Raw genomic sequence first — 15,488 nt, 5'->3', positions numbered from 1 at the left:
AAATAAGTTCTTGAAGAAATGGAATTTGATTTGGCAGATTCTGATAGTCTGAATAATTCACACTAACTGCAGAATTTATCTCACTTTCAGGTTGTCTGAGGTTGACCTAAGAACCCTGGCCTGAAGAGAATAGGCCCACAGCTCGTGTTTTTAATATTCAGTGACTTGGAAATATTTTTTTTAATTTGGGAAATACAATTATCATCTTAAATGTAATTAGCCTTGGCCAGATGCGGTGGCACACACTTGTAATCCCAGCGCTTTGGGAGACTGAGGCAGTCAGATCACCTGAGGTCAGAAGTTTGAGACCAGCCTGGCCAACATAGCGAAACCCCATCTCTACTAAAAATACAAAAATTAGCCTGGCATGGTGGCATGCGCCTGTAATCCCAGCTACTAGAGAGGCCAAGGCAAGAGAATCGCTTGAACCTGGGAGGCGGAGGTTGCAGTGGGCTGAGATCATGCCACTGCACTCTAGCCTGGGTGACAGAGTGAGACTGTCTCAAAAAAAAAAAAAATTAGTCTTTCCTTAAAACAAACAAACACTAAATCATATCAGTTTTTTTGTTTTGTTTTGTTTTGTTTTTTTTAAGACAGAGGAGTCTTGCTGTGTTGCCAAGTTGGAGTGCAGTGGCACGATCTCGGCTCACTGCAACCTCCGCCTCCCAGATTCAAGCGATTCTCCTGCCTCAGCCTCCTGAATAGCTGGGACCACAGATACGCACCACTACACCCAGCTAATTTTGTTGTATTTTTAGTAGAGTTGGGATTTCACCATATTGGCCAGGATTTATGACAAGCCCTGGGAGTAAAGATCTCTGTTTCATTAGTCCTTTGAATTATCAAGCTTCTGTGAGGATTATTGCTCTTAGGAAGATAAAAAAAGTGGACAATACAGAATAGTAGTATTCTACAACCACATGACCTCAGGAACACAATCAAAGACTAAGGATTAGGAAGGCATGGAAGATCACATTTCAATTTAAATAAGTATGGGCTGTGCCTCTTGTTATTTTTGCTAAGAAGGAACATGAAGCCTCCAGAACTATTGAGGTGTTGACTACAAAGTATCTATTTATTTTCCTGGGAATGAAACTTTTTACCATGAAACACAGGATACCCTAAAGTTCCTTACAAACTTACACTGTTCATTTAACCTAAGGTTAATTCATCATTATATAAGTCACATGGGTTCCTCTGTAGCAAAAGCACTAGATTCTGGCATTAGCTTTCTGCTTGTAGCCTGTTCAAAACTAAAAATGCCCTTAGAAGATTTGAATCCCAACACAGTACAAAGCCTCATTCATCCAAAGAGTTCAGGGGACTTTAGTTCTGAGTCTGCTGTTATCTTGCTAAGGTAAGTCCCATTTCCACCTAGGACTTATTTGACCCAGCCATAAAATGAGTGAATGATGGTAGATTAGGGGTCACATGCTCAAATGCCAATAGGGGCCAGGCAGGTGATACAGACAAAGGAAGTGGGCCAAGAGTAAGAATAATAGAAGGTGGTAAAAATAATAGGAGATGGTGGTGGTGTTGGTGTTGGTGGTGATGAACAACGGAATATGGCTCCTCTAAAGTTAGCAACCACCATCAGCTCCAGACAATTGCCAGTGGGGAGAACAGGCTATTATTGCCAGAGACTGAATTCTCAAGAGAAGTCGGAAATATACTTTTAAAATAAGAACTCTCTTAATTTATTATTATTGGCAATGAATTCAAAATGATTTTTAATTGCTGTGCAGGTAAACTAACCTTACTGTAGGCCAGATTCAGCCCAGAATCTGCATAACCATTTTCTGACTTCTGCCCTACATGATCACTTAAGATCTTGCAACCTTAACTTCTTTTTTTTTTTTTTTTTTTTTTTATTATACTTTAAGTTTTAGGGTACATGTGCACATTGTGCAGGTTAGTTACATATGTATACATGTGCCATGCTGGTGCGCTGCACCCACTAACGCGTCATCTAGCATTAGGTATATCTCCCAATGCTATCCCTCCCCCCTCCCCCCACCCCACTACAGTCCCCAGAGTGTGATATTCCCCTTCCTGTGTCCACTTCTAAATAGCAAATCTTTGCTTTTTTGTGCTGTTGATAAAATGCAAGATTTAATACTGTTTGAGAAAAGCAGGACAGAAGCTAGGGCTTGGGGGCTGCTGGGGAGATGATGTGGTCTATTAATAGCTGCACAAGGATGATATAGCCTAGATCAAAAGGCATTTGCATAACACCATAGGGCAGCTGTTCCTCTTTGCTGTTATGACAGTGGTGAAATAGTAACAATACCATCATCAGCAACAATAACAAAACCCCCTTTGCTTTTTCAGAGACTGACGTGCCACTCCTAGACTTTATAGAGTTGTTTTGGGCAATTTTGTTAATCCTTTTTATGAATGGTGAAGGAAAAACTGTCAAATAGAACAACAGGACTCCTGATGAACAGATAAGAAAACAAAGTGATTTTACCCTCCGCTTCTCCTTTGGTAAGGAAGCGCTGCAGAGATGCCTCCCAGCCTCCAGGGGGTGGTATAATTAACAGAGCATTTGCTTGAGTAGGTAAAGGTGCAAAATAAGAACTGGTGCCATTGGGTCTTTCTTGCATAAATAACCTCATTATCTAAATCTTTTTGTCTCCAGTCTCAGGGGCATCTCCACACTACTTTCTTTTCTTTTTTTTTTTTTTTTTTTTTGAGATGGAGTCTTGCTATATCACCCAGGCTAGAGTGCAGTGGTGCGATCTCAGCTCACTGCAGCCTCCACCTCCCAGGTTCAAGCAATTCTCCGGCCTCAGCCTCCTGAGTAGCGGGGATTACAGGCACGTGCCACCAAGCCCAGCTAATTTTTTATTTTTAGTAGAGATGGGGTTTCACCATGTTGGCCAGGATGGTCTCTATCTTCCGACCTCATGATCCACCTGCCTCAGCCTCCCAAAGTGCTGGGATTACAAGCATGAGCCACCGCACCTGGCCTCCAGCGCCCGGCCTCCACACCACTTTCATAACATAGCTCTCTGTGTGGGAGGAAGTAAAGACAACTGAGGTTGGAACTTGGCCCTCCTCCACCCCACACGGATTTTTAGCCCTGCCACATTAGCCAAAGTACTTACTATCTCTATAACTCAGTTTCCTCATGTATAAAAGGACAGTAACCTCAATGGCTACATTACAAAGTTGATGTGAGATTAAAGGAAATCCTACCCTATCAGGTGAAATGTCTAGGTCTACTTGGTAGTACTGAACTACATTCCCTTCCAAAGTTCTAATTTTCTCATCTAATTCCTCCTGCTATATTTAGAGTTCATCTGGTAATCATTTGCCCTCCATGATGAGATATAATCCCCAGAATCGAATTATGAGGTTGAACTATATGGAACTGTCAATAGTCAATATTATGGATCTACAAAATGGCAATTTCATAAGGTTCAATGTACTACAAAACTAGTCACAAATCTAAAGGAGGCCAAAGCAGCTTCCCTTTCTATACTAGTTCTGAAACACACCTGAACAGCTTATAATCTCTATATTTGGACAGCATGAGGCCTCTGGTTGGGCAACAGACACTTTCTCATTATAACTAAACTAACATTTGTCATCTACTTCCAGCTTACACAGTGCTTTTAATAAATATAATTTCCTTTAACTTCACAACAACACTAGGGATGAATGTAAGCACACGACTTTCCATATGCTCCTACATTTGAACCCGTTGGTATGCTCTAGAACTGTGGGATGTGTAATGTGCTATCATGGTTCCAGCCTACCTAACTACACATTAAAAAGTATTTCAATTAACAAAGAGAATAATGTAAAGAAAGCCCTGCCATTCACTGTGTAAGATGAATCTGACAAAACATAGCTCCACAAACAACTGCACTAAATGCTTAGGTACATAGGGAGCACCCAGTTCTGGTATCCCCAGCACTTTTGATGAGGACAAGATGTTCTTGCATTTCCTCCACGTTCTATTGGTTGAAACTCTTGTCAATCTTAACCTGGCGGTTTGAGCAATCTATAAAACACCACTCATATTTCCATCTTTAAAGTTACCTTCCATGCATAAAGACATTTAAAAAATCTACCATGGAACCCAACCAGATGAGAACTCCCAACTGATTCATTTACTTAATCTCCTCAAAGAAAACCATTTTCTGTGACTGCTCTGCAGGTGGTAGGCATCATATCTACTCTTCATTCATTCTTTCATGCAATAATTTTTTGAAACTTTTTTTTTGGAGCACTTACTATGGACCAGGCCCTGTTTGAGGCCAGGGGTTGGCAAATTATAAGCCCATAGGCCAAATCGGACCCAGCATTTGTTTTTGTAAATAAAGTTTATTAGAACATGGCCATACTCATTCATTTAAATGTCATACATGGCTGCTTTGCAGCAGAGCTGAGTAGTTGTAACAGAGATCATTTGGCCCACAAAGCCAAAACTATCTGGCCATTTATTGAAAAACTATGCTGACCCTGTTCCAGGTAAAGAGAGGTGAACAAGAGAAACAAAGTCCCCACGTGTCTTCAGATGCTCTTAAACAGCAGACTGCACCAGATGAACCCTGTCACTTAGCCTAAGGGGCAGCCCAAGTTTGATCACAGTCTGGGCTGCTGCTGGGAGCTTGCAAGGAACAAGAAAAGGATGACAGTTGTGGAGAGAGACATGCAAAGGGGGTTAGAGGGAGGACATGTTGGGAGATTGGATTAGTGTAGAAACCAACTACAACAGGTGGGCCATGAGGATTCCCACCAAGGGGCACCCAAACCGGCGGTCCAGGTACCACATGTATCAGAATCACCTGGAGACATTATTACAAATGCATGCTACTGGGCCCCACCTGGGAATCGGAATCTGAGTTCCAGAGGTGTGACTAAGCTTCCACACTGTTAACAGGTACCCCCGGGTGATTCTGAAGCACACTGGAGTTTGAGAGGCACTGGGTTAGTGTTTAGTTTTAGTGAACAGCGGAAGGTGCTCCCAACACGGTCTGGCCTGAAGTCCGCTAGTGGCAGGTGAGAAGGGGAAAGAATCAGGGCACAGACACACAGAGGTAGATGCAGTGAAAAGGCAGTTTATTGTCTATTAATACTGTACAGAGGAACAGAGAGAAGCTACAAGTACAGCATCAGCTGTCGCTGGTAGTGTCTTTTCTGAAGTCGGTTTTTATTTTGTTTTTCATCTGAAGGAAACAGAACAGTCAAAGTACACTTCAGGTTACAAAGTACAGCAGCTAGCCCAGTAAGCTAATTCAGAGTAAGCACGACAGGCTCCCACCCCCACCCCCACCAACCAACCACAAATGAAAGTATTTACAGAGACATCACTCACCCCGAGTGAGATGCTAAAGCTGAAAATTTCACCAACAACCTACATTCACTGAGAAGCTGCATCAGACACAACATTTTCTGGAACCCCTGTATGATTTTGACTCTCCTAAGTCAGGAGCTTGAGAGCAGGAAAGAATGTTCCAGAACCCTGCAAAGAATAGAACTCTTCCCACCTGCCAGAATAGGATATCACAGAATTGGAGTTGGAGCTACATACAGAATAGTTTGGATCAGGCATTGCCTGGTGGCCTCTGTGTATATCAAGACCTGTCATTGCAAAACTAAGTGACTGGATGTCTCCCTGCCCACTTAATCTCGAAACCGAGAGGTTCCTTAGTAATAAGAGATTAGAGTAAACTGGCTCTCCATTAGCACCTTCAGGCAATTGCATAGTTCTTTCATTTTGGAGTTGTCTCCATGACAGCAGTGTTCACAGCTGGGCTGGAGTTGGGCCTGTTGGAGAGATTCTGGTGATGAAGGAATTTAAGCGATTTGCATGGGAACCAGAGGGGTTATTTCTCTTGAAAATGGAGTAGATATAACCTTGTCTTGTTAGAAAAAGGGTCTTGATCTCTTGGGTAGTAGAAAAAGGCCTCATCCTGAGGAAGGATGATGCTTGGGAAGAGAGTCTCACAAGAGTGGTGAGTAGTTTCTGAGACATGACAACTCTGTTAGCCAGACAGAGGAGCAGGTGTAGGGGAAGAGCTTCAGGAAACTGAGTGTGATAGGGAAGGGACTTCAGGAATTTGACAGAAACTTGGGGGAAAATATTCAGGAACTCTAAAAATTCAGAATCTCCTTTATGGATAAAGACAATCTTTTCCTGTATCTACTTAACTCTAAAAATACAGTGTAGCCCTGTGTTATGTAGAAGGCCAACTGATAATTGTTTTTTTGTTTTTTTTTTTGAGACAGAGTCTTGCTCTGTTGCCCAGGCTGGAATGGAGTGGTGAGATCTCAGCCCCCTGCAGCCTCCACCTCCTGGGCTCAAGTGATCCTCCTGCCTCAGTCTCCCAAGTAGCTGGGACTACAGGTGTGTGCCACCATGCTGGCTAATTTTTATATTTTTTAGTAGAGACTAAACAACATGGTCTCAACATGTTGCCTAGCCTGGTCTTGAACTTCTGGGCTCACACTATCCTCCTGCCTTGGCCCCCCAAAGTGCTGGGATTACAGGCATAAGCCACCTCGTCTGGCCCCTATAAGATTTATATTGGTGGTTTATCTGCTTATGTGTAGACTGAAGATGGTCAGAGGGCTCTGACTCACCGTTTCATATATATTTCTCAAATGCACCATAGTAAGTGGTCCCTTAACCTCAAATGTGGCAATTACTCCTTAAATATGTGAAAGATTTGGACTTTGATAGTTTCTGGGCTTTGCTTGCATTTAAAATAGCTATCTCCTTCCCAAAGATTATTATATATTATTAAAAGTATAGCCCAGAGAGCTATCAAGCCATCTATCTAATCTACCTAATGGCAGGTATAGAAAGCTCAATCTTCCAACCAAGGCCTATTTGGAAACACTGGATCTCATGTAATGGCAGTGCAAGGCCAAGTGACAGGCCCTTTGTTCATGCCCCCAAGGCTTGGCCTAGTGCTATAGGACTCCCCAGAAAGTTACCTTTAATGGAATGAAGAAATAGCTCAGTCAAGGGTGTTTTCCAACTCAAGCTCCATAATGTATATAGATTTCATTATAAAAATACTATTCCTTAAAAAAATACATAACTGTAAAATATTCCATTTCTACAGCCACTCCTATTCTCACCCATATCATCCTACTCATCTTCGACTATAACGAATGGGCACATTCCTCAGTCATGGCTCAATCATAGAATTTGAGTCCATCTCTCTTGCTTTTTCAAGCAATGCCAACTGTGCTTAAAAATATGCTCCCAGATCCAGTTGGGGGTCTGCAAGTTTCCTTCTCTCACAGTGGGAAGGACTGTGAGGAGACGACTACAAGAGGTCATGCGCTCCATGTGGCCTGTCTCCCTGAAAGGCAGGGTGTAAAATTTTGCAGGCTTATATGAGAACACAGATACGTGTTTGGTTGGTAGACGGGCAGAAGTAAATCCCAACCTATGCCCACTTTAGCCCCTTTGGGCCACACCTGCAAGGTTCTGCCTCAATGCTCCTGTAATGAAATTCACAGCTCTGAAGAAGGCTGGGTAGGAGTGGGGAAGAGAATGTTGTGTTAATACAGCTTTGGAATACAACCTGCGTTTTTTTTTACCAAAAAGGACAGAAAAGAAGAACATAAACAGTGATGCTAAGGCAAACTGTCAAATGGCACATCAGTACTATTTTTTGTCATTCATTTTGTTAACATCACAAGGCAGATACATTCTGTAAACATATATACCATACAGTACATTAACCATAGGAAAATAAAAAGAAAGCCACCCTGTAATTCTTTTCTTTCTGTATTTCTATTCTTTCACTCCAGAAGGACTGTCTGAAGTCTAGGGAGAATTTTATGATTTGTGAGATGTACTTTTTATTTTTATTTTTTGTAAAAATGCAGTGACTTGCAAAAAATAGCCCCAGGTGATTATGAAGAGGCAATATGAGGAGAAGACGACCCTTTATACCTCAACCTGTAAAAACTTAGAAAACAGACCCAAAATAGAAAAAGTCATTAATTTCAGAAAACATCTTGTTTTCCTGGTTAGTAAAAGAGAACATTGAAAAATTATTTTTATAAAAGTTAAGGCTGTCCAGATCTTTGATGCAGAAAGTCTGCAGTCCCCAAAATTACATATTATATTTTCATATTGAAATCAAGTTCTTTTGTGCGACAGTTCCGACCTTCTTATATTATACTGGAAAGGAGAGGGGAAGCAGAGGCTTACTTGAGTTATATAAAAATTATGCTGGGGAAGCTGGTCTAAGGAGCCCTGGTAAAATTCCCCTTTGTAGTCTTTATTCTATACCTTTCTACATTCAAACAATCAGTATTTTGGTTTTTGTTGAAATGGGAATTTTACTAAGAAGTTTGCTGAAGCTATGAAAACACAGATACATATCTGCATTGTGCTCCTAATAAACGACTTTTCTTTTTCCCTAGAAAATGCAGGAAAGTTTTCCTGGTAATACCAGAAGAAGGCCTTTGTGAAGTGAACTGGTGGTAGCAGGAATCAAACATCCCATCTTCCTCATTAATTAAGTTGTTTTATTATACAAATAACTGTGTGCTCTTGCTGTGTTGTACTATCCAATAGAACAAAGGATGTTTTCAGGTTCTATCCTAATCACTGGAGTTCAATATACCTTGATTAAGAAATTGAGGAGCACCTGAAAGATCGTGTATTTATGAAGTTTCTGAAACACCTATGTCTTACTTATGCTGAGAATCTGTGGTTTCAATAGCAAATGTGCATGTGGCAAAAATGCAATGTGAAATGGCTCACTTTGGAATGATTTTTATTGTAAACTAATATGGCAGGAGATGAGGTTATTTCTTCCAGGAAAGGACCTGTTAGTGAGTAAAACTCTCCAGTGGGTCCAGGGATGAGCAGAGATGACTGAGCTTCTAGATTTCAAGTAAATAAGAAAAAGTCCTCGATGCTTATTCTGTCTATGTCCATCTGCGTTTTATATTGGCAGGGCTAATATTTCTTACAAAGGAAGACCTGGTATAGTAGTTAGATTTTGTCTCTATGACCATGTTCCCTCCCTCCTCTTTTGCTACCCATTGGTTCAACTGGCATTAAATAAATGGTAATTTTCAAGGGTGTGCTGTGGTCCCTTGAAATGAAATTCTGCAGGAAGTAAAGAGAAATAGTCTGTTTTTACACTTGGCCTCAACATTTTGCTCCAGAGATGATATTGTATCTCTAGGAAACTCTCTCTTATACTTCCCCTCCTTTTATAAAAACTTGACTTTAACCAAAACAAAATATTCTACTTGCTTGTAGATAAAATACATTTATCAGCAGGAAATTAAATGGAATAGGTAGACGTTTTAAGCAAATACATGTCTATTAACATTTTGGAAAGGAACCAAATCAAATTAATAGAATTTGAGTTTCCTGAAAGCTTCTGAATAATTCTAAGATTGCTCAGAAGGCTCAAGGAAACTGTGTTTTAGGTTTGGCCATAAGGGCATTCCCTACCTTCTCTTCCACCCCATCACCAATATTAAATGATGTCACTGAACACTGTCAAATCAGTTTTAGAGGCAATTATTATTTTTTTGCTTATGCAAGGAAAATAATATGGGTAAAAGAGATACAAGCTGAAAAAATTCCCCTTAGTTTGTCTTATTGCACACTAAAAGAAAGAAAATATTTTTAAGAAGTCAAGAATACAGAAGTCATTAAGATTTTTCAAGATATGTAGAATTAATCTTTATCATTTTAACCATTAAAGAATCTTTTATTAAATGCCATTGAAAATCTATTTGTATACAAATGAGATACCCCCCCTTTTCCTTTTTTTTTTCCTCCTCTTTCTATTTAAAAGGGAACTGATTATATGATTTTTTTTTTTTTTTTTTTTTTTTTGAGATGGAGTTTCGCTCTTTGTTGCCCAGGCTGGAGTGCACATCTCGGCTCATTGCAACCCCTGCCTCCCAGGTTCAAGCGATTCTCCTGCCTCAGTCTCCCGAGTAGCTGGGATTACAGGCATGCGCCATCACGCCTGGCTAATTTTGTATTTTTTTTTTAGTAGAGATGGGGGTTTCTCCATGTTGGTCAGGCTGGTCTTGAACTCCCGACCTCAGGTGAACCACCCGCCGCGGACTTCCAAAGTGCCGAGATTACAGGTGTGAGCCGCTGCACTCGGCCTGATTATATTATTTTAAAGGAAAGCCCAACTAATCATTAGCTCAAAAAAGATCATGGTTTTGCAATTTCATTACTGATTCTTTAATTAGTTTGGTTATGTAACCAAATACCCTGCATTTTTGGAGAGTGTGATACCACACATAATAAAATTTACAGAGAGAATGCCAATGGCAGCAGGAAAGGCAGCATGTTCATAATCACAGCTCCATGTACACTATCATCATGAAGGGTAGTTACTTGCTGCTATAGGTGGGATTATAGGTCTCATCCCATAGAAGTACTGGCTAAGCCTGAATTCCCCATTATGACAAGAAAATGATGGGACATATGCAAATATATGCGCCATATTCAAACACACCTTCATTTAGTGTGGCTACAAATAGCTCGAATAAAGGTAACACATCTTACTTCAGTCCATTAAATGATAAGCTTTACTAATAAAAGTATAGAGAGAACTCGAATTCATATAATTTGCTAATCATTATTCCCCCATAATAGTAATTAGTGAAGAGAATACAGATAATCATTAATCTTTTAGTTCTTGTGTGTAGTGTTGTAGTAAGATGTGCAGATCATTTTCTGTATGAGTAACTAGTTCACTTATGCAAGGATAGGTCCCTTCAGGGAATTATCTGTCCTGGAAGATTGATTCTGTTTATCAACCAGCAAGCTTAAAGGTTCTACATTCTACCATTTCACTCACTAACTGTGCTTAACTTTTTAAAACTCACATTGAATAGCTTGAATCTCCAAGTGAGTAGAAAAGATAAGCTATGGTAAGCTTTCAGATTGTTTCTTTCTTAAGTAAATCATTAAAATAACAGATTGTCCAAGACATTGAAACTGTTTTCTCCCTCTATGTAAATAGGTTTATCTGCATGCCAGTTTATGTAATGTCTAAATGATGCTTCAGTGACCACGTACTCAGGAAAATGAAGCTGAGAGTAGTGGAATTTATAAGCATCCAAACCAGGTTTCTCGATAAAATAGCAATTTTATTCCATTGCAGCTGCTTTGATGAACTTGAGATTTAGAGATATTTCCCTCAGTTATTCAAAACCAAGCCTTGGATGAAATAATCTTCAACAGCAGAACTTAGCTCCTTTATTTTTCTCTTCTTTAACGTTTTCTGTTTATGTATAGGTGTAAACAAGATGAGTATAATAAAAATAAAATGACCCATTTTGTGCTCATTAAAATGCAATTATTTCAGAAAATTAACTTTGAAAAGTAAAAACTGATGTTTTTACCTTTCCTATTGAAGTAAATATAATTTCAAGCCAGGAGATTAAAAAAAAGCAATAGATTTAGCACTGAGCAAGCAAAATAGGTCAAATTAGACAGCTTCTATAATAAAATTCTCTCAAGACTATCTTATTTTTTCTGATCTACTTTCCACAGAAGTTAGACTGGATGTAGTATATCATATGTTTTTTCAAAACTATATACTGTGGGACATAATTTTATGAATAATTCATAACAATGCTATAAATGGGCAAATAACTTAAAGTTAAGATAACTCTTATTAAAACCAGTAATCATGTTATATCTTTATTTCATTACTATACTATTGTTATTTTATTAAATTGTTTCCCTTTGGTTTTACTACATATGTGGCTTTTTGCTTTGGGGGAGTGCTGAGAAGGTATTTCAAAAACTGTTCATTGTGTTCTAGATAAAAAATATTCTTTGCTCTTCTGGAATCTCCAGAAGCTAAAAACAAAACAATGCCCTAAGAAGCTCAGCTATGTGCCACTTAATATTTGTTATGAAATTAAGTGCTTAACATTGAGAAGATAGGTCTTTCTTAATTTTTAAAAGTTTTTTAAAGTTTTTTTTTTTGAAGGGCAGATAAACCTACAAGTTGAAGTTACCTAAAACATTCTCTTTCTCATGGGGCCAGAAAGAAAAGAGTATGGATGCAAGGCTTTGTAATCAACTGGGGAGGAGATGAACAGTTAATGCATTACAGCACCATCCATGATGAAGTGGGAGCATCATGGCAACCATTGTAGGTTGGACAGACTGTTTTAGAAATATGGTCACTGCAAAGATACTTCTCAAGATGATCTCCTCATTGAAAATAGATTAACATGACCAGAAAATATCCAGAAAAAAGAAACAATATAAAAATTTACATTTTTTTAAGAGAATAGAAACAAGGCTTGTGAATTTGCCTAAGTTTGGAGATCAATTGCTACTGATGCTTCAAACAATGTTTGTTTCATGTCCTTAGAAATTTTAAAATGGTGCTTCTTATATAAAGGGTTCATCGGTTAAACCATAGAAAGAGAGACAACCGCTGATGGGCAGGTTATGGAATCAGTCCCTACATTTCAGCTGTGACAAGCTCTGGGTTCTTCTACATTGACTTCATTTCAGTTTTAACAGAAAGAAAGCCATGAATGCACAATACTGTAATCTGGAAGCTTATGTAAGGCAGCAAAAAGCATCACCCTAGATCGGACAGACTAAGTAAGGTCCACTTTTGGCTACACTAGCAACCGGCTAGAGCCAACAGCATTTTGCCACACAAGATATAAAAACAAAGATCCACAGCAAAGGAGGCAAGTGAGAAACCAGAGACATGGCAGTGTGTGACTACGTTACAGGAACACACTACAAAATGAAACCCCCAGTGCCAATGGGTTCAATTCCAGTCAAGTGAGTTAAGGCTACCATATCACTGGCTGATACGAAGAGTCCATTCCAATCGAGCAGGAAGGAAGTGATTCACTCTTGAAGACACAAGGAAAGGTTTAGAGGAAAAGCAAGTTCTTGGAGAGAATGAAGCACACACATGCACGTTGTCTCTCAGGTGAGGAAAAGGAAAAAAAATGAGAGAGATCAAAGCAATTCAACTGCAAGGCAAGGCAGGTGTTTGCTTCCAGTTCACAGTATTGCAGTTAGTGGTACAGTGAGGTCTACGTGAGTGGTGGAGAGTACAGGCTGCCCAGAAGAAAGGAGAAGAAAGAAGTGGTCACATGACAACACAGCATTGACAGCGCTTTTTCTTTTGGGTACCTGGGGCTGGCTCTGTAGCTAGGCTCTCTTCCTTCCCTTCTGGGGATGAGGGCTCTGTGGTGTCTGAGACCGGCCTCCCGGACACAAGCTCAGCCGCGTTCCCGTCAATAGTGGACACGTCCGTCACTGTCTTCTCCCTCAATGACTTCTCATCATCTTCATCAATGAGGACCAATTCAGCCTTGATGGTTTCATCATAGCCTAGCACCTTTTTCGTCTCCTCTTCATCCTCGATATTTTGGTAGCCCATAAAAATCATGGTGACGGGCTGATCCAAGTTTGCCTCCGGCCCTGCAGCGCTGGGGGCTTGGGCCTGCTGCCCTGGGTTCCCGGAAGAATGGTCTTTCCTAGACTTATGTACCATTTCTAACTTAGCTTCTTTGCAGAGCATGTGTTCCTTGGGATGGCTGAGGCTCCCATCTGCAATCACAGTCCTTTCAGACACGTGCCCTCCTCCTAAGCTTGATTGTCCAGCCTTCTGAATAAGCTCTTCTACATCCTTTGTGCTTAATTTGTGCACTCCATTTTCTACTACGGTGCCTCCTGAGCGCACCTCATACACTACTTTGGTACCATCATCATAGACTTTGACTCCTTTCTGATGGACCCCCTCTGGGCCAATGGTAGATGTAGAGAGAATCTTGGTCTCTCCTGTTTGTTTGTCTTTCTCCACATTAATTTCCATGGCGTACACAGCTTGAATGAAAACAAGAGAAAGGAAGTGCATGTTACAACAAAAAAAGCCAGTGAATGGTTAATTGCCAAACAGACAAAAAAAAAGGTTTTGTGCCCTTTCTATTCTAACTGCCAAGCATCTTGAGTGTTAGAGTGAGGTGCGCACTGTGAATAAAGATGGTTATATCTGTATTGTAACACAGCAGTTTAATGCACTTGGAAGACAGATGCACGGTTGCTATATCTCAATGGCACTCACACATTTAAGGAAGATCTGCTAAAATAAGGGCACAAGAGACTTTAGATCTTAGTGTGAAGAATTTCATGGAGGCTGGCAACATGCAAACTACCTTGACTGAGGGCTTCCCAGGCTGACAGACAATTTACAAACCCTTGGTTAAAATGTGTTCCAGGTCCAAAATTTTAAATAAATGAAAAAACCTCTTTCATCAAGTGTTTTCGTTTTCTCTACATTTCCACAAAGGTTTTCATAGGTGGGTCATGGCTATCCTCCACTGTACTATACAACAGAATATTTTCAACAATTGAAAAAGCATGGGAGCATTCATATTATGTGCCCTGTGAGTACTTCAGTCACTAAACTAGGTACCTAAAATAAGAACTAAGAAAAGAACAAGACAGAAGTAACATCACATAGGACACTGGAATTTGAAGACAATGATCGCAGAAGGCCTCTTTCATCTTCCATGCACAGAGTGCCAAGTCCTGCTGCCCACAATACCTTTCCCATCTGTTGTCTTCTTTTTGTTCCATTAATACCTTTCCCATCTGTTGTCTTCTTTTTGTTCCATTGCTACTGGTCAATGTAAGACATTCACTTCCTCTTCCCTAGATTGTTGGAAGAGCTTCCTACCTGGTCTCCCCCTCCCCTTGCCCCTGTCTCTCAGTCTTGTATCCTTTCTAATTCATCCCAACTCTTGCTGCCAGTCTGGGGTTGCTAAGGACAGCTCTTTCCTGTCCTATAGACTCTTGTGACACCTCATACTTCCAAACTGGTTTCTTCACAGTCTTCCTGGATGGGAAGAAACTGTGCATCAGGCCCATAGAGCCACCAGGCTCCAGGTGCCCTTTATCTGGATGTGCCACGAACCCATCAAACTCAGCAGCTTCCAAACTGACTCCAGCTTCTTCTATCAAAACTATTCCACAGTCTCCATGCCAAATAACAGCAGCACTGCTACCTAGTCTCTCAAGCCACAGGCCTGAGAATCACACCTGACTTGTTCTTTTCTTCCTACTTTCTTACAGCCAAACACTCACTGACAGTAAATCATTCTACTTCAGATATATCTCATCCATCTCCTCACCACCATTTCTGTCACCAAGGCCTTAGTCCAGGCCCTCCTCTGCTCTCTGCACAACAGCCTTGCTTTTTATTTTACCTAACACTTCTGTCTTCTTGCTCTAGTCTAGAAGACTGCAAACTGTGGCCAGAGGGCCAAAGACAGCCTGAGCCTGTTTCTGTATGGCCAGAGGAGCTAAGAGTGGTTTTACACTTGTAAAGGGTTGTTTCTTTAAAAAAAAAAAAAAAAAAAAAAAAGAAGAGGAAGAAGAAGAAGAAGAGAAGGGGAAGGAGAAGGAAGAAAAAAGAAGAGGAAGGAGAAGAAGAAAGAGAGGGAGGAAAAGATGGGGGAAGGAAAGAGAA

The 15,488-nt window shown here is 40.3% G+C and overlaps 1 protein-coding gene across 14 annotated transcripts in view, besides 3 other annotated features; it reads right to left on the bottom strand.

The window, feature by feature from the left end:
- PALM2AKAP2 (PALM2 and AKAP2 fusion) overlaps positions 1–15,488 on the bottom strand; it is a 531,726-nt gene that overhangs the window by 215,984 nt on the left and 300,254 nt on the right. For 6 of the 14 annotated variants that reach the window (XM_047423410.1, XM_047423411.1, XM_047423414.1 and 3 more), the window contains one exon: positions 13,148–13,843. The exons of 6 other annotated variants lie outside the window; for them this stretch is intronic. In XM_047423410.1, coding sequence (XP_047279366.1) covers positions 13,148–13,843 — 696 coding nt within the window. Of the gene's footprint in view, positions 1–5,052; positions 13,844–15,488 lie in introns of those variants that run through there. 2 more of the 14 variants (NM_001037293.3, NM_053016.6) reach the window with 1 other exon arrangement.
- Positions 3,384–3,453: a silencer, noted in NCBI's record as "silent region_20168". NCBI's record gives its function as "represses an Ori minimal core promoter by ATAC-STARR-seq in GM12878 lymphoblastoid cells {active_cell/tissue: GM12878}" and the evidence as "EXISTENCE:reporter gene assay evidence [ECO:0000049][PMID:35858748]".
- Positions 4,838–5,047: an enhancer, noted in NCBI's record as "active region_28775". NCBI's record gives its function as "activates an Ori minimal core promoter by ATAC-STARR-seq in GM12878 lymphoblastoid cells {active_cell/tissue: GM12878}" and the evidence as "EXISTENCE:reporter gene assay evidence [ECO:0000049][PMID:35858748]".
- Positions 5,068–5,137: an enhancer, noted in NCBI's record as "active region_28774". NCBI's record gives its function as "activates an Ori minimal core promoter by ATAC-STARR-seq in GM12878 lymphoblastoid cells {active_cell/tissue: GM12878}" and the evidence as "EXISTENCE:reporter gene assay evidence [ECO:0000049][PMID:35858748]".

Source organism: Homo sapiens, chromosome 9, assembly GCF_000001405.40.
Source record: "Homo sapiens chromosome 9, GRCh38.p14 Primary Assembly".
Lineage (NCBI taxonomy): Eukaryota > Metazoa > Chordata > Mammalia > Primates > Hominidae > Homo > Homo sapiens.
This window is presented reverse-complemented; position numbering and strand designations above follow the sequence as displayed.